We start from the raw sequence: 23,765 nt of genomic DNA, 5'->3' as shown, positions 1-23,765 counted from the left end.
TTCTCAGTTCCATGCTACTCTCACTTTTATATAATTTATCTGAAAAAATGTTAAGTTTAGAAAAAAATTCAGGTGAGATAATTACTCAATGAATACTTTTTTAAATGAGACAAAACAATGAAAACAGTATTCATTTTTACTTTACTTGATGTAGTTTAATATTAAATATCAAAAATGTGAAAATAACCAAAAGCCACAATATTTTTTTTTAAATAAAAATTACTGCCTTTCAATCATTACTTACATTTCACTGGCATTTGAAACCTTTTTAATTTTCTTCTTCAGTGATTTTAGTCTTTCTTGGATTTCTTTTTTTTCCTGTTGCCATTTTTTAATTTCTCTTTCCAAATCTTGAAGGAACCAATCTAATTCCGTCTTTGAGATCTAAAAACATTTAGAAAGTACTTAAATAAATGGCAAAATATACTTTTTAACAAAAGAGACTGAAAGGCTAGAATTGTGACGGTGCCATAGCTTAAACAATGACCTAAGTTCAGTGGAACACACTCCCAAGCTGGCGCCCTGTGGCAGACTATGCCCCCCAGCCAAGCCTGGGACACCAAGTCACACCAGACAGCCACATCCTACCCGCTACGTGTACCTGATTACAGTAAGACACCCCGAAGAACCACTCCGACGTGCCCAGAAGTGTTCACACTTACTCTCCAGCCTAAATGATTCTCTAATCTACAGGGAGTGTATGCATGTTTTAGTTGGCAAGGCCAATAGTTTTTGTTTGCTTTTATAAATATAAATGTAATCCTCTTGCTGGTCATTAAAGGCATTTGGGTTGAGATACCTGCCAGAATTTCAGGCAGTGTGACAAAGAGAAATGAAAACCTCTTTGGAGACAATGCTAGTTACCGTTCCCCTGGAGGGTTTGGTACAGCACCACTTGACACCTAACCCTCTTTGTCAACTTCCTATGTAGTTGCTGGTTTGAAACTTCTGAATCTACACATTCTCTAAAGGTTTGATGTCTTTTTTGAAGTATCATCTATTTAATTGTAGCAAGGGGTTTGGGTGGGGCACATGCTTATAAATACCAGTCACTTATAAGTAAAACATTCCCTATGTTAATATTTCTAATAATTAATTTAAACGTGAATCAAAGCAATATTTAAAGGAAACAAATATTTTCTAGTTTAAAATCTCACTATTATCAATGACGGCTTAATGAAATCCTAACTTCACATTTGCTTTAGGGAAACTTTTAATTTTTTACTTCCTATCAGGTTCCCTACAGCCTGAACTTCCTGCTTAGGCTTAGAGCACACGTAGGTCATTTCAGCTATAGAAACTCGAGGTCTTCTCTGTAAGAAAGGACACTAAAGTCAACCTACATGGATTCCATAGGAAATCATGGCCCTCAGGTCAAAAGCTCTATCAACTTAAGAGACCACTACTCCCTCTTCAGCCTTAGACACCAAGGTTTTCATGTTTTTTAAAGGCAGATTTGCTAACCAGTCAAGGTCCTTTAAGATTTCTGAATCCTACAGCAGGGATAAGGTTGATTTTGGCACAGGACAACTGTTCTTAGGTGGCAAAAATTGAACAACAGCTCAGTAATGTTCCCTTTAACATAGGAACCAGTTCTTCCCACATCTTCTTAGCTGCAACCTTGTTGATCCTGAATTTCTTGAGTCATTACTGTGACTGAGGTGACCACCATGCCTACTCTACTTAAGAATCCTGTGTTCCACCTGGTTCGGTTCTACCAGGACCAATGTGAATTTGTATGCCTTGCTGCTGGCAGCCAAGCCAATCTTGTTTCTCACCTATCCTGTGCTCCTATTCTGAGCCAATGATCTCACCTGGGATCCATCCCTTTGGCTGGGAGATTATGTGCAACCACAAGGTTATGCTGAGGCATAAGAACCTAGTTGGCAACAAGTACCTAAGGGAGTTCAAGTATCAAGAAGCACAAAGTATTATAAACATATGTGCACATACATACACATATAGCTCAGGCAACGAAAATACCACATGAGTTCATCTTCTGTTTGTACTAACCACTGCTGAATGCCATAGCTGCCTCACAATGCTAAACAGGTCAGCTATCACGAGCTTGTTTCTGACTGCATGGAAGACAGAATGATCTCCTGAACGTTTTTCTTTCAAACTTAGCATAAAACAAATAGGCTATACACAACTGTATCTGCTATATTACAGTTTATTGACATAACTATAAACAATTTCTTTTTCTCAATTAGGAAAAAACTTATCTTTTTTATTAAACCTCAGTGTTGTTCTAAAATAAATATTTGAGGTACCTTTGATAATATATACATAAATATTTAATTTTTTTTTTTTTACATTTTCTAAAGTTTTATTGTTTCATTCTTACTGAAATTAAAACATTCTTTTTTTTTTCTCCTTATAAAGCCATTTTTTTTTATTATACTTTAAGTTTTAGGGTACATGTGCACATTGTGCAGGTTAGTTACATATGTATACATGTGCCATGCTGGTGCACTGCACCCACTAACTCGTCATCTAGCATTAGGTATATCTCCCAATGCTATCCCTCCCCCCTCCCCCCACCCCACAACAGTCCCCAGAGTGTGATATTCCCCTTCCTGTGTCCATGTGATCTCATTGTTCAATTCCCACCTATGAGTGAGAATATGCAGTGTTTGGTTTTTTGTTCTTGCGATAGTTTACTGAGAATGATGATTTCCAGTTTCATCCATGTCCCTACAAAGGACATGAACTCATCATTTTTTATGGCTGCATAGTATTCCATGGTGTAAAAAAAAAGATAATATATACATAAATATTTAAAAGACAAAATAAAAAGAATGCTAAGCAGATAAAGAAAACAGAATAGAGAGAGAGGAATGACAATACAAAACCATGAGTGAGAGTAATATAAAAATGAATGGCATGCAGTCCTAACCATTCTTTAGAAATAACATGAAAACTTTCTGGCAGACAAGGTCAAAGAGAAAATATAATGAACTGTACAATTCAATATAAAACATAAAAACAAACCAGTTGCACAAGAGAGGCCCTGGAAGTGATGGCAGACAGAAGGGCCTCAAGAAGAGGATGCTGCAGAAACGCCCCACAAGACCAGCACAGAGCCTGACACTTAAGAGAACATTCAAGAAATATCTGTCACATGAAAGAATGGATAATATCCCCAACTCCATACTAGCAGTAAACAAAGCAGCAAACTTCACAGAATGTGAGCCTGATGTCCTCTGATGTAGGCTGATAGAGAACATGAAAACACAATTCATTAAATGCAGCTTTTCAGGGGCCAAGCACACACTGTTTGATAAACATTTGCAAAGCTCCTAGTTTGTATACTAAGCTAGGTGCTGTCAACCAAAGATAATTTTAAAAACCACCCTTCTGGGGCTGGTGGCATGTGTTTGTAGTCTTGTCTACTCAGGAGTCTGAGGCAGGAGGATCCCTTGAGCCCAGGAGTTCTACCTTGGCAATACAATGAGACCCCCATTCAAAAAACAAACAAAATGAAAAACAGTCCTTACTTTCAAGATCACAGTTTGGTAGAGAAAATATGCATAAAAGATAATTACTATACCATACTATTTGAAAAATTAATGTGAAATGGATCACAGACCTAAATGGGTAAGCAGTGCGCTTGAAGTAGACGGGTTTCTTAGCTATGACACCAAAGGCACAAGTAACAAAAGAATAAGAGAAATTGGACTTAGTGTACTCAAAGTAAAAACTTTTGTGCTGCAAATGATACCATTAGGAAAGTGAAAAGGCAACCCACAAAATGGAGACAGGAGATACATTTACAAATATGGAAGATGGAAGTAAATATGTGCAAATCAAATATTTGATAAGCAACTTGTATCCAGAATATAGAAAAACTCTCTGTTTTTGTTTTTTTGAGACAGGGTCTTGCTCTGTTGCCCAAACTGTAGTGCAGTGGCAAGATCATGGCTCATTGCAGCCTCAACTTCCTGGTCTCAAGTGATCCTCCCACCTCAGCCTCCTGAGTAGCTGGAACTACAGGCATGTATCCCCATACCTACCTAATTATTTATTTAATTTTTTAATTTTTTTGTAGCGAGTGAGGGTCTCATCACATCGCCCTGGCTGGTCTTGAACTACTGGGCTCAAGCAATCCTCCTGCCTTAGCCTCCCAAAGTGCTGGGATTATAGGTGTGAGCCATCATGCCCAGCCCTGTTTTGTTTCTTTTTTTTCCTTTTGAGACAGGGTCTCACTCTGTTGTTGCCCAGGCTGGGGTGCAATGGCATGATCCTGGCTCACTGTAGCCTCAAAACCCCTGGGCTCAAGTGACCCTCTCAGCTCAGCCTCCCAAGTAGCTGGGACCACAGGTGCGTACTATCATGCCTGGTTAATTTTTTAACTTTTTGTAGAGATGGGATTTTGCCATGTTGCCCAGGCTGGTTTCAAACTCCTGGGCTCAAGCGATCTTTCTGCCTTGGTCTCTCAAAGTGCTGGTTTTATAGGTGTAAGCCACCGCACCTGGCCCAAAAACTCTTATAAGTCAATAATAGAAAGACAAACTCAATTCAAAAATGAATAAAGGATCTGAGTAGACATTCCTCCAAAGAAGATATACAAATGGCTAATAAGCATATGAAAAGATGCTCAACATCATTAGCCTTTAGGGAAATAAAAATCAAAACCACAATGAGATACCACTCCATACCCATTAGGAGGCCTAAATAAAAAGACAAACGATGATAAGTGTAAGTGAGAATGGAGAAACTGGAATCCTTATATACTGCTGGTAGGATGGTTTTGGAACAGGCTCGCAGTTCCTCATACGCTTAAATGTGGAATTGCCATATGATCAGCAATTTCACTCCTACATATATATCCAAAAGAAATGAAAACATATGTCCAAAGAAAAACCTGTCCATGAATGTTCACAGCAGCATTATTCAGAATAGTGAAAAAGTGGAAAGAACGCAAATGTCAATCAACTAGTGAATGAATAAAATGTGATATAGTCATACAATAGAATATTATTCCACAGTAAAAAGGAATGACACACTGATACATATTAACATAGATGGATGTACATGGATGAACCTTGAAAACACTATAGGTGAAAGAAGACACTTATAAAAGACTACATGTAACATGATCCATTTATACAAAATGCCCAGAATAGATAAATCTAGAGAGTAAATCAGTGGTTGCCAAGGGCTGGGATACAGGAGAGAATGGGGAGTGACAGCTAGTGAGTATAAGATTTCTTTTTAGGTTGATGAAAATGGTTGAAACTTAGATTGTGCTACACACAGACCTGGGCATATATCAAAACCATTAAGTTGTCTATTTTTAATAGGTAAATGTTATGCTATGGTTAATTATATCTCAATAAAGATGTTATAAAATGATAATTACCATCTCACATAGTCATTATTACCACCACTGCATTAACAAAGGCCTGTAAGCAAGCCTGAGGTTGCCATCAACAACTGTTTCCTCAAGAAAGTGATGCCCAAAGGAGAAGCAGGAGGGAGTCAGGCTCAGGGAGAAGGAAAACCACTCCAGGCAGAAGGGATGGTACTGGGAAAAGGTTTGGAAGTGAGAAATCGAATGACAAACATTATCCATTAAATTAGAGAACAATGTAGAGAACTGGCAAGGGAGAAGGCGGAAGATGAAGCAGGCACCAATCACAGAAGGCTCTTGGTAATTACTGAGTGTTAGTAAATTACTGGCGCTGACCTACTGTAGTGGAGGGATGGCATTCATAGCTCCATCCTTCACACTCTAGCCATTCCATTTATCATGTGACCTTGCAGTTCCCTTCGCTAAGGAGGCAAAGTCTATCTTCCCCAGCCCGGGCTCTGGCTGGCTATGTGACTGCTTTTGCCGGTGGGGTCTGAGCAGACCTGAAGTCAGTAGAAGCTTGAAAGGTGCCGTGTGGCCATCTTTGCTTGCCTTTGCACCTTCCTACTGCCTTCAGAATAGGATTTTCAGGGTGGAAGATGCAAGACATGTGGAGCAGAGCTAGTTGTCCCAGTCATCCCAGCTGAGGCCATTCTAGATCAATCTACAGCCAGCTGAACCCAGATATGTAGGCAAGAACAGCAAAGATGCTGCAGAGCTCTTGCTAGCCCTAAGGTGAACTGACCCAGCCGAGCCCAAGCAGGACCAGCTGATCCAGACTTCTACGCTTAGCGATTACAGTCATGTGTCACTGGGGTTTTGTGGCTGGGAGTCACTCAGCATTATTATGACAGTGATTAACTGATATGCCTACACTGCTGTAAAGTGGTGAGAAACATTCCTAACAGTTAGTTGAACTAGGCCGTGGAGCTGACCTTCTCTTAAGGGAGAACAAATGCATGGGCTCTGAAGCCTGACACAACCTGTTCTGCCACTTCGTACTGGTGTGGCTTGGGGAAAGCTGCATCAGCTGCTCCCACCTCCATTTCCTCACCAGTAACATGGAGATTTATTTATGTACTACAGTATAACACTATTGTATAAGGACTGTTTTGAGATTAAATACATGTAAAAACAATTGAGTGTGGCACATAGTAGGAGCTTCATAAATGATAGATTTAAAAAAGGCTGAACTTGACAAGGACCCATGACTGAAGAGGAGAATCCCACCTCTGCACCAGTGTGGGCTGAGGAAGTTTTGGCAGGCAGGGCCAAGATTCTGTTCTAATACAGACAAAGGTCCAAAATTCTACCCTGTAAATTATTCTGGGCCAAATAATTTGACAGTGTTTTAAGACCTAATGTTGACTCAATGCCCATTTTAGCATCTCATTAAAGCACCTTAAGACCATATGTCCTGGGCAGATAGGGAGTGACTGATTAATAAATATGGGGTTTCTTTTTTGGGGTGATAAAAGTTTTCTGGAATTAGACAGTGGTAATGGTTACACAATAATGTGAATATTCAAAAAACCACTAAATTGTATACTTTGTAATGGTTAAAACAGCAAATTTTATGTTATGAGAATTTTATTCTCAAACAAAAATGAACCTATGTCCTTCAGCAATATTGCAACCAGTTATAACCTGCCAGTCATAGGTTAGGGTACAATAAAAACAACAAGAGATTCTGGCTTTAAAAAAGCTACTTTTGGCCAGGCACGGTGCCTCACGTGCCTTTTGGCCAGGCACGGTGCCTTCCCAGCACTTTGGGAAGCCGAGGTGGGAGGATCACAGGAGGTCAGAAGTTCAAGACTAGCCTGGCCAACATGGCGACACCCCATCTCTACTAAAAATACAAAAATTAGCCAGGCTTGGTGGCGTGCAGCCTGTAATCCCAGCTACCCAGGAGGCTGAGGCAGGAGAATGCTGGAACCCGGGAGGCAGAGGCTGCAGTGAGCCAAGATCATGCCACTGCACTCCAGCCTGGGCGACAGAGCAAGACTCCATCTAAAAAATAAAAAAAAAAATTTAAAAAGCCACTTTTCCGCCGGCAGAGAATAGATAACTGGCCTAATTGCCTAAAGAGGCCATTCTTAGCTCATGAATAATAATAGAACCCCATCAGCTATATATAATACCTCGCTCAGATTTTTACTGATGCTTAGTATATGCTAAGCATTCTTTTTTTTTTTTTTTTTTTTGAGATGGAGTCTAGCTCTTGTCGCCCAGACTGGAGTGCAATGGTGCGATCTTGGCTCACTGCAACCTCTGCCTCCTGGGTTCAACTGATTCTCCCACCTCAGCCTCCCGAGTAGCTGGGATTACAGGCGCCCACCACCACATCAGGCTAATTTTTGTAATTTTGGTAGAGATGGGGTTTCACCATGTTGACCAGGCTGGTCTCCAACTCCTGACCTCAGGTGATATACCCACCTTGGCCTCCCAAAGTGCTGGGATTACAAGGATTACAGGTGTAAGCCACCGTGCCCGGCCTGTATATGCTAAGCATTCCTTTTTTTTTTTTTTTTTTTTTTTGAGACACAGTCTCGCTCTGTTGTCCAGGCGGGAGTGCAGTGGCGTGATCTCGGCTCGGTGCAAGCTCCGCCTCCCGGGTTCATGCCATTCTCCTGCCTCAGCCTCCTGAGTAGCTGGGACTACAGACACCCACCACCATACCTGGCTAATTTTTTTTTTTTTTTGTATTTTTAGTAGAGACGGGGTTTCACCGTGTTAGCCAGGATGGTCTCAACCTCCTGACCTCGTGATCCACCCACCTTGGCCTCCCAAAGTGCTGGGATTACAGGTGTGAGCCACCGCGCCTGGCCATATGCTAAGTATTCTTAAAGTGGTTTGTAAAAAAACAATTTGCTTAGCAGAGGCACAAGCAGAATTTTGGGTGGGACAGTTCCTCCTTGAGTACTGTACTTACTATCTCTGGCTAGCCCCTGTCCTTTTTCAACCACCCCAGGTGAGGCCTCACAAAGCTGTGAAGTAGACAATACATTATTAATGAGAAGACCGAGGGTCAAAGAGGCTGAAGAAATTGTCTAACATCACAAAGCTACTACATGGAGGTGCTAGGGTGTGGTATGGGCAGTGGGACTCTAATGCACTCAGATTTCTATAGCTTCCCTGTTTTTCTGTTCTCTATAAGGGGCTGGGTATGCATTTGCTACATCCAAACATGGCATCAAGTAACTGGAGTATAAAGGAAAAGTTGGTTAGCTCATAACCTCAGCAATCTGCAGTCAAAGGCCAAAGGGACATATCAGGAAAAGCCACTCATTTCTTTCTATGTTTTAAGAAATTTCTCCATGAGCTATGAGCGTAACCACCATTAATAAAGAAATGACTGTGGCTAAATCTCATCTACTCTTATGTGGACACCAACCCAAGGAACTCAGATTAGCGACTTATCCTGGTAGGGAATAGGTATACATTTTACGTGGCAAGTCTAATAACTTATCAGGCCTGTGATCTGGGGGGCTTAGTAATTGCCCTTTTAAGGCACTCTTGAGTAGGGCCACGCAACAGCAGACTCAAAGCCTTAACAAGTTAAAAAAAAGCCTGAGAGCTGGGGCCCTCCCACTGGGTGCTTTATTTCCGAGACTCTTCTGGACTGACTGTACAAAGAAAGAGCCTTGATGAACTGTGCACACAGAACACACAGTCAGACCAGCAATTTATAAAGCCAGGAAAGCCTCGGCCAGAAAGAAAGATATCTCACCGGCTGAATGCTACCTTTAAGACTATGTCTCCAATCTGCCTCATCACTCAAACAGGCAGCTACAGGAATTCCCACATGGGAATTAAAACTGAAGTTTCCTGAGGCAATATAAAGTTTATAAAACTATTTTGTTTTGTTAAACCCACAAGTAGCTTATAGAAACTTGTGTTCCATGTGTCACTATGCTGTGTAGGATTTTGTTCTTCTTTACTTCTCCCAGCCAGGAAACTGAGTAAAGTCTCAGGATCTATCTAATTCTTCTTGTCCTTAGACTCTCCCCAGCCTCATCTTGAGTATAAACAGGTCCTGGGGAATGTTATGACAGTTACCTTTACAAACTGACCCTAAGATTTCTACTAAAATCTTAGTAAATAGGTTTCCTGATTAAGGTCCCACTAAGCTAGTTTTCTTCTATTTAATATGTTATCCCAGCTATTGATCCAGACTTCTGGAACAAATTCCTCCTTTCTTAAATGAATTACTATTCTTTTGTTACCTTTCTAAACAGATGATGGTAGCTTTTAAAAACAAATGCACCATGATTTCCTCACATCTGTGATTCCATTTTCTCACTAATTCAATCTGGCTTTGCCACTAATTGCTATCCCTCCACTAGCCATGTATCTGATGATCAGTCTTGACTAACAGAATTCAAGGTCAGCAGATCTCAACAAAATACTCTGGGTGACTTTACAGTTCTAGTATGTCTAAGGCTCCATGTGTTATTCTTATACTTCCTTAGGAGTAAGATGAAGATGATGATCATAACAGTAGCAGACAATACTTACTGAGTCCTTACTAACGAGGCAGTTTTAAGTACTTTATAAGTATTAATCTAACCATACAAAATGTGAGTTATTATTACTCACATTTTCCAGGTAAGGAACTAAAGCACAGAGAAGTTAAGTAAATTGCCCAAGATTAGAACTAGTATAGAACCATGCCTAGATCTGAACCCAGCCAGTCTGTCTCCAGGGCTCTCATTCTGAACCTCTATTCCTATGCTGCCTCTCAATATAAACAAGAATTTACCTCAGAGCTCAGTCACCATAAAATAGAGTTTTAGTTAACCAGGGAAACTGAACTATAGCTAAACGAAAACCCAGACTTACAGCCCCTTTCTCATAAGGCAGTTTGCAGAAGTTCTAAAGCATGGCAACAGCCACTTTAATATGTCATGAAGAAATCTGAAGCAGGCGATTCTGAGAAAGAATCTTTTGTTTAGCCACCAATGCAGAAGTTCAGCTGAGGCCGCACAAGCACAGCTACACTCACATTCTCCTAACTATGCTACATGCAATTAAAGACAGGTTTCAGACAGGATTACCTTGTTTTCTTCTAAGTGCCTTTTCAACTTCTCTTCCAGGTCCCTGGTCTCTTCTAAGCCCTTAAGTTTTATCTGCTCATAATTTTCATACACTTCTTGAAGTTGGTCTTGTAATACTTGGTGCTCCTTTTCAATCCGTGAAATTTCCCCCTAAAAGTGAATTACAAAACAATCTATTAAAAATCATTTAAAATGCCTACTTATGATCTTGTTCTTTACTGTTTCTTAAAATAAACAAAGGAGAGTAAAAAGCAGATGAAAATTTACAAGGGAAATGTCACAATCATTCAGGAATTAAAAACCCCTAAACACTGCTTAGCAAAACCAGCACTTTTATAAATATAATCATTCATATTATTGAAATTCATAAATTCTCCAATCTATACTATAATTAGTTCTGAATATTTGCTTTAGAAGGGTTCAATACCAGATCAACAGTTTGATTTAAATGTCACTCTCCACAATTAACACCAACGATTATTTATTAGGTTTAAAAAGCTGCACATATTATACATATTTTAGATATAAACAGAACATTTTAACTTTGGCTTTACTTTTAGGTGTTTCAAATAAATAGTTGCTGGTTATTTCAAAATGACAAATTAAAATATTATCTATGAATTATTGTCAGTTATATTTCTTGCACCAGCTTAACAACAACAAAAAAAACCCCAAACCCAGAAACCATTCTGTTGGCAAACAATAAATGTCATTTATGTAATTATTTTTTAAAACCTTTCAAACTGCATATAACTCTGAAAGAGCATCTGTTTGATGCTGGCAGCTTCTCCAGCTGCAGGTAACTGTCCTCCCTGTGGCAGCCAGGCTTTAGAAATCTATCCCAGGCACAAACCTGGTCCAGCTCTGACATTTCCTGTACCTTCCCCCAATACCTTAGTATCTTTCAAGTGTAAAAAAGCAGGGAATCAAGTATTTGAAACTCTGTGAATGATCAGTTGGAGAACTGTGAATTATGGTCAGATTGACCATACATGCCCTTTTGCCTTGGAGCATGCCACTTTGTCTGCTCAGACCGAAAGTTTAGTACTATAAATAGAGTCCATGCTTAACTAAATTAATTAAACAGTCAACCTTACTATCAACCAGGAGCAAAACTTTATGGTTTAAGACTTTAGTTACCTCCATTTTAATTCTTAATTCAGCAAAAGGATCACAGTGAATAGTAACTTGCTGTCGTGAATGAATTTACATGCCCCAAATTACCAACAGAGACAGGCAGGAAGCTAAATGCCACCTCTATGTTATTACATTTAAACTTCACGATACTTCTGTGAGAAATACATTATGTTTGCCTTTAATAGATCAGAGAACCAAGTGATGCAACTTCTCAAAGTCCCAGGAGAAAGTAGCAATGCTGGGATTCAAATGCAATTCTCACTGGTTGAGAAGCCAGCAATCACCTATACTAGCATCAAGGTCCTAAAACTAACAGCTAATTTAAGAAAGCATTTGTGAACATTCCCATCACTGATAAAAACATTCATTTGATGGTCAAAAGCACTGACTCATTAAACAACAGAGCCTACCTGGTTTAAAGCTAAGCACAGCATAAGACTTCAACAACAGTAAACAGGCCAAAATGTTCACTATAAGACTGCCTGTAAGCATAAAAAGCTGATACAATCTAAATGTTCAACAACAAGAAATTGGTCAAATAAATGATCACACATTAATAAAATGGAAAACCAAGTATCCATTTAAAATGATGCTATAAATCGTATTTACTGATATGGAAACAAGTCTACAATATATTAATTGAAGCCTGCAAATTTCAAATAAAATATATATGCTGTGATCCCATCTTTTAAAAACTATTGTTTAATTATATGTAAATGTTCAAACATCCTGGAAGGCTACACATCAAAATATTAACATGAGTGATGGGAAGGTAGATGATTTTCAATTTCTCTTTCATAATTTTTGGTATTATTCATTTAAAAAATTTAAGAACTCTATATATTATTTTATCATTAGCAAAAACTAAACACTATTTGTACAAATAGCAGCAGGAAACACAAGCTCTGACCTTCTTCCTACTTAACTAGACATTGATCTTGTCAAACATTCCATATCTAACTATAGAACTGCTTTTTAAATGACAGCATGATATTTCATTTTATAGGTATATCATAATTTAACTAGTCCGCTATTGATGGAGGTTTAGATTGTATTCAATTTTCTGCTGATTCAAATACAGACAAAACAAACATACAAATCCCCTTGGCTCACTGGTCTCTCTATACATATATGAGTGCAGATCGATTCCTAACTGCCTTCCCAGAAATTTCAGTTTCACTATCTTTCAAAATGTGAATGATTGCTTTTCCTATTTCAAGTGGGGTGGGCATCTGTTTATATGTTTAAAAATCATCTGTATTTCTTTCATTGTGAATTGTCTATTCACATCCATTCTCATCTTTGTGACAGATTGTTGATCTTTTCCTTACTGATTTATAGAAACTTTGTTGTTAAGGAAATTAGTTCTCTATCTGTTTCACACTGCACATAATTTTCCTTGTTTCTCTCCTGTGTTTTGATATGTGTATGTGTATGTATTTGTTGTCATACATATGCTATGCATATAGGATATACACATTACATGCATGTGTATATGAATATAAACATTCTTTTTTCCCATGCTGTTTACTGATCTTACAAAAAATTTTTCCCGTTTTTTTCCTGGATACTTTTATAGGTCCATTTTTTATGCTAAAATCTTTAATCTGCCTGGAACTTATTTTGGTATAAGGAATGAGGTAGGGACCAAGATTGATTTTTTCTAGATGGCAATCCATTTCTCCTATGTATTTAATAATCCAGTTTTTGCTCACTGATAATTTGCCATCTTCGGTTTTGTTTTTTGTTTTTTTTTTTTTGAGACAGAGTCTCGCACTGTCGCCCGGGCTAGAGTGCAGTGGCGCAATCTTGGCTCACTGCAACCTGTGCCTCCTGGGTTCAAGCGATTCTCCTGCCTCAGCCTCCCAAGTAGCTGGGGTTACAGGTGTCCACCACCACGGCCAGCTAATTTTTTTTAATTTTAGTAGAGATGGGGTTTACTATGTTGGCCAGCTGGTCTCAAACTCCTAACCTCGTGATCCACCCACCTCAGCCTCCCAAAGTGCTGGGATTACAGGCATGAGCCACCACACCCAGCCAATCTACCATCTTGATTGACTGACTGAGATGGAGTCTCACTCTGTCGCCCAGGCTGGAGTACACTGGCGTGATCTTGGCTCACTGCAACCTCCGCCTCCCAGGTTCAAGCAATTCTCCTACCTCAGCCTCCCAAGTAGCTGGGATTACAGGTAAGCTACCACACCTGGCTAATTTTTGTATTTTTAGTAGAGACGGGGTTTCAACATGTTGGCCAGGCACTCTCATATTAATGGTCTATGTATGTGGTAATATAGATAGATTTATATTGTGTTTTGATATTTAGTTGCACAACTCCTTTTCTTAGTTTCTCTTCCATACCCATTCTTGATGTTCATTTTTACATATGAAGTTTAAAATCAATTTGTCTAGTTTCAAATTAATCCTGTGCAGTAACCAGGCCTCTTGTTAGTCACAGCCTTGTATAGACCTCTCCTACCATGTATCAGGGTTGGTGGATTGATCTATGTGACCAAGAGAATGCGCAGAAGTGATAATTTGTGACTTCCTAAAGCACTGCCGCTTCTGCCTGGTATCACACACTCTGGGAAAAGCCAGCCCCATGAGGTCAAGCAGGGCTAGGTGGAGGTCCACAAGGCAAGGAACTGAAGCTTCCTGACAACTGCCAACATCCGCTTGCCAGCCATGTGAGTGAGCTATCTTGGAAGTAGAACCTCTGGGCCCAGTTACTCCCGCAGATGACCAAGCCCTGGTCAACATCTTGGCTAGCTACATGAGAATCTCCAGAAGCATCCAACTAAACTGCTCCTGAATGCCTGACTTAGCGAAATTGTGAGATTTCACAATTGTGAAATATTTTACTGTTTTAAGCCACTAGCTTTTGAGGTTGTTTGTTATATATACAGCAATATACATAACTAATTTGCCCTGTTCATGTATATACTGGGATTGTGTTAAATTTTAAAAAGCTTTAGGGAGAACCAATCTCATTATCATAATATGTGTTCTTATCCAAGTACATGAAATATCTTTTCATTTAAGGCTTCTATGTGTCTCTCCATAGCATTTAAAAATTTTTCTTTATATACATTTAAGTATTTTATCTCTTTTTTGGTATTGAAAATATTTTCTTTCAACATACTTTCTAACAGGTAATTGTTTATATATATTTTTATATACAAGTATAGGTTTATATAGGTTAGTGTAGGTTTTCAGTTGATCATTTTGGATTTTCCTGGTACACAGCCCTAGCCTCTGTAAATAATGATACTCACATCTCCTCTTTTCTATCTTCTTTCTTTCTCATATCTGCTTTCTCAGTTAATATACCCAGGATAACAATAAATATTAATGGTGATGTTTTACCATTAAGCAAGATGATGGCTTTTGGCTTAAAATATTAGCATGTTGAGAAATATTCATCAATTCCCATTTTCTTACTAGTTTTGGTCAAGACAGTGACCTGAATTTTATCCAATACCTTTACAGCAACTTTGAGTTGATAAGACAACTTTTCTCTTATGATGCATATTAACGAACTAAATTATATTAGTAGGTTTTCTAATTGAATCATTATTATAGTAGAGAAGGTCTTTATCTTTCTGTATTATTCGCATGAATAAGCTTACTTATAAATTATTATATGCTCATTATACCAGTTAAAACAATAAAGCTGGCCAGCCTGGATGACAGTGAGACCGTGTCTCAAAAATAATTAAAATAAAAATAAATAAAATTTTAAAAATAATAAAATAAAACAATAACGCTGTTATAATTTGAAATAAGTATGCTGGAAAAAAATTACCTTTTCCTTCCCTTCTCAAATTTCAACAATAAAAACAAAATCATTTTTTTGTTATGTTCTCAAGCTTATTCCATGATAACTTTGTGTGGAATAAGCTGACTCCAAAATAGTTCTAGTTCATCATTCCATCTAGATAAATTAATGAAAACTAAACCTTTAAACAGTTTAATGTAATTTTGACTCACTTGTCGTTCCTCAAAAGGATTATATGGCTCAGTATTGACTTCTTGGTGTATTATGTTCCAAGATACCTGTGGGCAAAACAAAAAATAAAATTCACTTTATCTCAATCGCTCTAGTAAAATAAGCCCATCAAGTAGTAACACTTTAAAACACACCCACAATTTTTTCAAGTTTTTTTTCCCATTTAGATCATGTTCCATGCTTTCCGTAAACATGTATATTAGGAAAGTTATTTAGAATTAGCATATCTGGAAATGATTATGATCCATTGCTCTTAACCTATTTTTTTCAAAGCTTCCTAGAAAACATAATGAGTGGGGCAATTCAATAAGGATTTAATGAATTCATACCCTATAAAGGCAACCATAGGAGAATCTTGATTTCATCTCTTCCTTGTTAGGAAAGAACTCATACACATCCCTCTTGTTTCTACCTGGCTGTCTCTTTTTAACATTCTCATTCCTCCCCTGGTTTGACAGGAGAAGCTGGGCCTGTGTAGGTCAGAGTCTTCCTTTTTCCTTCTCTTTCTGAGGAGCTGCCAGCACATTTTCCCTTCCTCCTTCATGCGCTAAGTCCTATGGGGCAGGCACCCCACGCTGGAAGGCCTCCAGGTGGGCCCTCCTGTAACTGGCAGGTAAGGCACTGTGATGCAGGCTACACTTCCAGCTAGCACTTGAACTTTCCTACAAACAGCCACCTTCTCCTCCAGCACCTTTATTAATTCTTAGGATGACGTTTTGGCTCCACCTGCTGTCTTATTTCTCAATCTGTGTAGAATTTCAGTAGCAAAGATGGGTATTGTTTATTGGACCCAAGCTTCTTTCTGAGAAGATTACCTGTCATGCCTCACAAAAGAGTTCATATTTTAAAAGTATTTTCAGGCAAAAGCTTCAGTAATCATTATAAAGTCAATCAACTTTAAGGATTCTTGCAAATATAACGGCAATGAAAAATGAAAAGGAAAATTTAACTTCAGTATTAAGAAGACTTTTCTATTTAACTCTTACCTGTATGGCAACCATCTGCACGTGTGGAATGTTTGTTACTGCACTGGTGCTTTCTGGAATTACTTCACATTTGTTGTTAGAATTTCCACAGTGCTCATCATTTCTGTTAGACTCACTCAGGACTGTATGAGCATCACCTGTGCTGCAGTGTGACTTTACAGATATTCCCAAAGAGCCCTCAAGGATCTGTGTTTCAGAGGCAATCTGGTGACCAGCAACATTCTCAGCATTCAAATGATGACCCTCAAAATAGGCAGCAGCATTTTTATCTGCTCTGTCATTGGCTACAAAAGACGGCACCACTGGTACTGATCTTGGTAGCTGATATTCAGGAGAAAGGCTGGCCAAGGGTGTATATATGCTGGTGTACTGGGGCAAACCTGGTAACACGTTTATGTATGCTGGCGGTGTCTGGGTGATATCAAATCTCTGGAAAGGAAGATACGTACAGTATCCTGTGACCAAATGGGATTGAGCCCAATAAGTTGGTTTCACATCCTCAAGAACCGGTTTGGGGGAATTACAGGAGACTCGCTTGTAATTTGCATCCTCAGAGCCTGGTTTAGGAGAATTAGAAGAGACCCCTTTGGGTTGCCCATCCTCAGAAACTTGTCTAGAAGAATTGTCGGATACTGGTTTGGCCTTCACATCTTCACAAGCTGGCTTGGGAGAATTTGCAGACACAGGTTTGGGTTTCACATTTTCAAAAGCTGGTGCTGAAGATGAATCTGACACTGGTTTAGACTTTACATCTGGTTTAAATTCCCTAGCAGCTGGATTCAGTTGTAGTTTAACTCGTACATACTCCCCTGCTTTTGAAATTTCTTCTACTTTTGTTTTAATGTTTTTCTTCTTCCTTTTTTTCTTGAGCCGTGATGCAACCTTCTTCAGTGCAATACAGTTGTCAATCACAACAAAACGAGGGCATCCCAAGAGAAAAGGTTTTAAACCTCCTGCTTTTTCTAGTATCTGTCGAGTTTCTTCTGGGAAAAACTCATATTCTGCAGAGAACATCTTGTTACTCATGTCCAAGGGACCATGTTCCTCCAAAAACTGAGAGAAGTAACTTGGAAAAAATTTACATTTACATGAGTTACTATAAGGAAGTACTTGAATATGTCTATTTGAAAAAAACTTTTATTCTCCCAAAGGAAAACACTGTTTCACTTTTCACTGATCTCAACCTTTCCTCAACAACAAATATAACAAACATAAGGTTAACTGCAATCAATGATACTATAAAGAAAATTTTGTCTACCTCCTAGAAAATGATCATTTAAAACTTTTCTGGGAGCAGGGGAAAGCAAAAGGAAATCAAAAAGTTATTTCATAACTTTCAACTATGTAATTACATAATTTATTCTAAAAACAACAACAAAAAATTTATTCAGGAAAGATAATAATGCCAATAAGAATTTTAAATAAAAAGAGAAAATCAAATCTCAAAAACAAATCCTATTTGAATTTGCGTACAGTAAATACTGAAAACTACATACTTTAGCTTTACTTTTGGATGCCTGAAGCAAATTCTAGCATACTTTAAGAAATAATAGTATAATTTTACAGTTGTTTCCACACTGTCACCCAAGAGTTCTCTGGAAATATGATTTGCTCAGCATTTCAACTCTAAAGAAAAACCATGAAGAAGGATCTAAGAGCACAGAACTAAATAGGAATGATGCAATACAGGAAAACAGAAGAAAGGGCCATATGGTGGATATGCTACTGACAGGACTTCCAGGAGAAGAGTTGGCTTTTAAATTAATACTCTATTACAGACCTCAGCCCTTGATTTATTTTCTTAAAAGGAAGGCCTCATGCACTATCTAATAACACAAAGCTCAAAATGGTAAGCTATCTGAGATTTTCCTGAATTTTTTACTTGTTTTATCCACCCCACTCAGTATCGACTTAGTAGCTCAAACTGACAAAATCAATAATCATTAGGACTCTAAATTTAATAATTAAAAATCCTCAGGGCGGGGCGAGGTGGCTCATGCCTGTAATCTCACCATTTTGGAAGGCTGAGGCAGGCAGATCACTTGAGGCCAGGAGTTGGAGACCTGCCTGGCCAACATGGTGAAACCCTTCTCTACTAAAAATACAAAAATTAGCCAGGCATGGTGGTGCAAGCCTGTAATCCCAGCTACTCGGGAGGCTGACGCATGACAATCACCTGAACCTGGGAGGCAGAGGTTGTAGTGAGCAGAGATTGCACCACTGCACTCCAGCCTGTGTGACACAGCAAGACTCTGTCTCAAAAAAAAAAAAAAAATCCTAAATTAACTTTGTGTAAAATGTGGCAAAATCTCTAAAAACAGGCACAAATTAAACAACTTCTGATCTTTAATTGGCAGCCTTAGTATAAAATAATGGTTGTAAAAATTTCAACCCACTTACTCATATAGAGTTGAACATTTTTGTTTTGGGTTCATGTCCCATAGCTTCTTATTGCGGACAACATATTCGTTACTGTGTTGGTCATAGAGAGCTTCGAATTCTTCTACATCTTGCCGAAGATGGTCAGGCACTGCAAATGGGCCTGCAGAATCTGAATTTCGATTGCTGGTAAATAACAACAAAAAACACCCAATTTTGTGGATGATAGACCTTTGGTTTATTATTTAACCAGAAGAATGTCTAATTGAAATAAACACAATAATGGCAATATATTACTCAGCTCTATGTTGCAAAAAAATAGCACCAGGGAACTTAGTGTAGAAAAGTTACCCTTCCACAGTTATAGGCGAGAAATATCATATCTGACAATCTAAGTAAGCACTTTCAATTATTTAGTCTTGCTCCAAAGAGCAAAATTCTTAAAACTCCATATTTTTAAAAAAAGTTGCATTAATTATAACTTGTTAAATGACTGAAAGACAAATGAAGATTGTATTATAACTGCTATAAATTAACTTAAAGTGAGACTGAGACTGGTAAATGGTATTAATAAAAGGTTTTTTTTAAGCCAGGTGTGGTGGCTCACGCCTGTAATCCCAGCACTTTGGGAGGCCAAGGCAGGCAGATCACTTGAGGTCAGGAGTTCGAGATCAGCCTGATCAACATGGAAAAACCCCGTCCCTAATAAAAATACAAAATTAGCCAGGCGTCATGGCGCATGGCTGTAATCCCAGCTACTCAGGAGGCTGAGGCAGGAGAATTGCTTGAACCCAAGAAGTGGAGGTTGCAGTGAGCTGAGATCACGCCATTGCGCTCCAGCCTGGGCAACAAGAGCGAAACTCCATCTAAACAAAAGTTTTTTTTAAATGTAAGATGTTAGCACTCTAAAAAGATGTAGTAGTTTGAGTGTGGACTCTAAAACCAGGCTGCATGACTTAAATCCCAGCTCTGCTATTTATAAGCTTTGTGTTCTTGGGCAAGTCGCTCTGCACTGTGCCTCAGAGTTTCCTTATCTGTACATTGGACAGAATATAATAGCACTTACCTCCTAGGCAGGATAAGTGGATTGAAAGAGTTTATGTATGTAAACCCCCAAAACAATGTCTGATACATAAGAATTAATCTCAGTAAAGGCTATGCTATGGTCTGAATGTTTGTGTTTCTGCAAAACTCATATGTTGAAACCTAATCACCAATGTGATGGTGTTAGGATGTGGATTCTTTGGGAGGTAATTAGGCTCTACCCCCATGAATGGACTTATTGCCCTTATAAAAGAGGCCCCAGAGAGTTGCCTTGTCCCTTCCACCATGAGAAAACACAGCAAAAAGGCACCATCTATGAACCAGAAAGCAGGCCCTCACCAAACACTGAATCTGCCAGTACCTTGATCTTGGGACTTCCCAGCCTCCAGAACTGTGAGAAATAAATTTCTGTGTGTAAGCCTCCCAGTTTATGGTATATTGTTATAGCAGCCCAAACTGACTAAGACAGGCTATTATTTTAACTTAAAACAATTACCCTACTTAAAGAATCCATGAAATGACCACGTAATTTTTAACTGCTCTGATAGCTCCTTTAAGAAATGAGAAAAAAAAAACCATGTTGTACATTTTTGGTTCATAAAGGAGTATGATATAAAAAGGTTACTGCTACTCACTAGTTTTATTTCTTAAATATTTGTTTATTGAAAACTCAGTTTTGACAACCAGATGGCATTGAAAATCACTAATATATAAGGTGAAAACATAACATCATATACAGCTCCCAAAACAGCTTCCTCTCTTACAGGCAAAAATGCCTAGTAAGTATTAACAGGACATTCTCTTTATTGACTATTTTAAAGAATAATTTCTAGACATTTTTCTATGATTTTCCCACAGAGCCTTGCACATGGTAGGTTCTCAATATGTACTTAGTGAATGAATGTCACCAGTGTCGTGACTTTAACACAGTTTGAATGAATTCTTAATGCCTTCTAGCCACACTATATAAATGTAATCAAGATGGAATTACATCAGGTTGTCAGATGCACAGCTTTAGAAAGGAAAGTTAGGGAAATAAAACACAAGTTTATATATATTAAATTAACACAACTTATTAAGTAAAGACATTTGAGTTAAAATGAAGCAAAAATTTAAAAATTATACTTACCTATGGTCTTCACTTGAAGTGATGATCTCATTATTTGAAGTTACTGAAGTTGTTCCAGACCCAACTAACATAGGCTGGTTTAAAAGACAGAAAAATGACAATGATTTTCTACCTTAAAATTCCATTAAAGAGAAAAATCATTAAAATTGATGAATACTTATATAAACACACATACAAATTGCTGATATATAAGATCTATCCAAATTTTCTTATAAACAGGAACACATAGTAATAAAAGTTTCAACAGCCAAAAATAAGCTCAAATTAACATTTAGGATAGTTTCCAATGCTCCAAAAAAATTTAAATGTTACTCAGTTTAAACTCCCATTTTATCTAAACTAAATACATAGTCAAAGATAAAAATAAAAGTTGTATTGGAACTCCTTAACTGTTCTCATCCTTTGAAGATTTGCTACTCTCTCTCACTCCATCCCCCTTTCTGCTCCCCACATACACACAAGAGCCATGAAGAACCCACCAAAGACTTAAAAATTGTGCCCTACTTCTGGCACAGTGGCTCACGCCTGTAAGGCCAAAGTAGGCAGATCGCTTGAACGCAGGAGTTCTAGAACAGCCTGGGCAATATAGCAAAACCCCATCTCTCCAAAAAATACAAAAAATTAGCTGGGCATGGTGGCATGCGCCTGTCATTCCGGCTACTCGGGAGGCTGAGGTGGGAAGATCACTTGAGCCTGGGAGTTTGAGGCTGCAGTGAGCCGTCACTGTACCACTGCTCTCCAGCCTGGGTGAGAGAAGGAGACCCTGTCTCAAAAATAAAAATAAAAATGCCCTACTTATCTAATGGGCTTGGAGGAGAGCCTTTGGTGAGAGGAAGGAAGGGATTCTATCAATCCTGGGACTGTCATAATGATTAGTATTCATCATTTTTAGTTTAAATATGTTATCTATTTTTTGAGACTTATTTATTTTTTGGGACATTATGACAATTTTTTTTTTTTACTCAGAAATACCTAGAAAAATAAAAAAGACAATAAAGAATACGAGTGTCAAGACTTGCTATTATATAATATGAACCTGGAATTTCTTCAAAATGTAGAAGACTGCCAAAACATCTTTAAGTCCTAGAAAGTCTTTCTCTACAAATGTTTCAAAATATCCCAAGAATTGCTCAATTCTAATGTATATGTCCAACTAACTATTTTGGAGAGTTTAGACAAGAATTAATACAGAAAATACTCCATACCTTTGAATCCTTTGGCTTCTTTTTCTTGCTTTTGTTTTTCACCTTGGTTGAACTAAACTAAAAAATGGGGGGAAAAATCAGTGAACACTCAAATAACAGCATTATGAAGCTCAACATAAAGAAACCATATGAGTTTTTACAGACTAGCCATAAGTTAAATGTACATAAAATGTTTAACAAAAATAACACTACAGTGTATCAGCCCAAGTGCTACGATTTATAATAGAAAACAAACAAAATTTAATAATACTAATGTATACTAAAATTAAGTTGTTCCAACATTTTTATCTTATTTTCCACAGGGTTGGACTGTTATTTCAAGTAATTAATCAGACTTTTAAGTAATTCCAGTTAGATGCCATAATAGTAAATTTATTATTAATATATTTCTTTTACTAAGCCAAACTAGACATTCTGCACCTGACCAGACACTGGGGCACAAACAGTGAATAAAGAAGCCTTCAGCTCCTTATGGAGTATTTCAGCTGTGTTTCCCTGCTTAGCTGGGCAATATTTGATGGAGCAGATTAAGACAAAATTTCATATAGATAGATGATTTGCTCCTGAAAATCAGTAAACAGGCATTTTTCTCTTTGAAAACTGCCACAATGTTGTGCTTTTCTCTATTTACTCACTTTCCTAAACTGAAGAATTTCTGAAGAATGAATAAAAGGCAACTGCAAACTACTAAGGAAGACAACTCTGGAACTGTTTTAACTTAAACGTAATTTAGAGCCACTCAAAACAAAGTCCCTTTGTTTTCCTTCTAGAGCAGAACATTAGAAGTTTAGTTATTAAAGACAACTTTTCATTTTTATGCCAGGAGATGAAGAACTCTTCCTTTCTTAATTAGAATATTAATGTTTATCAGCTCTGAAACTTTATAGAAATTGTCTAATTTAAGCCTCATAGTTTGCTGATTATTGCTCCAATTCCGAGAGGAAAACTGGCAGTGACTTTCTAATGAATAATAGTACGTACTACCCAGACGTCCTTTTAATGTGGTTCTTGAATGCTGGCTGTGATGTCAATAAACACTGGCCTGGGTCCCCTTCTCATCCTTGGTTTAACATCAGATTAGAACGTAAGATTCAAGTGATCCAAGTAACTTACCGGTGCTTCACCACTATCTTGTTTCCTTAACACAGTACAGCGGCTGTCTGTAGGAATATACAGATGGTTTTGTGAGAAAACTAAATATTTACATTTCCATATAGTACACTAAAGCCTTAAAATAACTCCTCATACTACTGGCATAGGCCATGTTCTATTCCTTATTTGGCTTTGACACAAGTGTAGTTTAGAAACCAAGGGCAAAATGGCTGACTAAACGGGAAACCAACTACAAAGAACCATAAAACTTCAATCTGATTCAGCATAATGTTGAGTGCCTTCTAGGTACCATCTATGCTAGTCCTGGGAATAGAGATGCACAAGACAGTCCCTACCATTGATGAACTCCTGTT

General features: G+C 38.1%; 1 protein-coding gene across 10 annotated transcripts in view, besides 1 other annotated feature; it reads right to left on the bottom strand.

The window, feature by feature from the left end:
- TTC3 (tetratricopeptide repeat domain 3) overlaps nucleotides 1–23,765 on the bottom strand; it is a 129,865-nt gene that overhangs the window by 19,961 nt on the left and 86,139 nt on the right. For all 10 annotated transcript variants that reach the window (NM_001320703.2, NM_001353936.2, NM_001320704.2 and 7 more), the window contains 8 exons: nucleotides 23,413–23,459; nucleotides 22,300–22,356; nucleotides 21,095–21,168; nucleotides 18,943–19,107; nucleotides 16,543–17,608; nucleotides 15,538–15,603; nucleotides 10,414–10,563; nucleotides 245–384 (listed from right to left, as the gene is read on the bottom strand). In NM_001320703.2, coding sequence (NP_001307632.1) covers nucleotides 245–384; nucleotides 10,414–10,563; nucleotides 15,538–15,603; nucleotides 16,543–17,608; nucleotides 18,943–19,107; nucleotides 21,095–21,168; nucleotides 22,300–22,356; nucleotides 23,413–23,459 — 1,765 coding nt within the window. The remainder of the gene's footprint in view (nucleotides 1–244; nucleotides 385–10,413; nucleotides 10,564–15,537; nucleotides 15,604–16,542; nucleotides 17,609–18,942; nucleotides 19,108–21,094; nucleotides 21,169–22,299; nucleotides 22,357–23,412; nucleotides 23,460–23,765) is intronic.
- Nucleotides 23,514–23,753: an enhancer, noted in NCBI's record as "active region_18443". NCBI's record gives its function as "activates an Ori minimal core promoter by ATAC-STARR-seq in GM12878 lymphoblastoid cells {active_cell/tissue: GM12878}" and the evidence as "EXISTENCE:reporter gene assay evidence [ECO:0000049][PMID:35858748]".

Source organism: Homo sapiens, chromosome 21 (assembly GCF_000001405.40).
Source record: "Homo sapiens chromosome 21, GRCh38.p14 Primary Assembly".
NCBI classification, from domain to species: Eukaryota; Metazoa; Chordata; class Mammalia; order Primates; family Hominidae; genus Homo; species Homo sapiens.
This window is presented reverse-complemented; position numbering and strand designations above follow the sequence as displayed.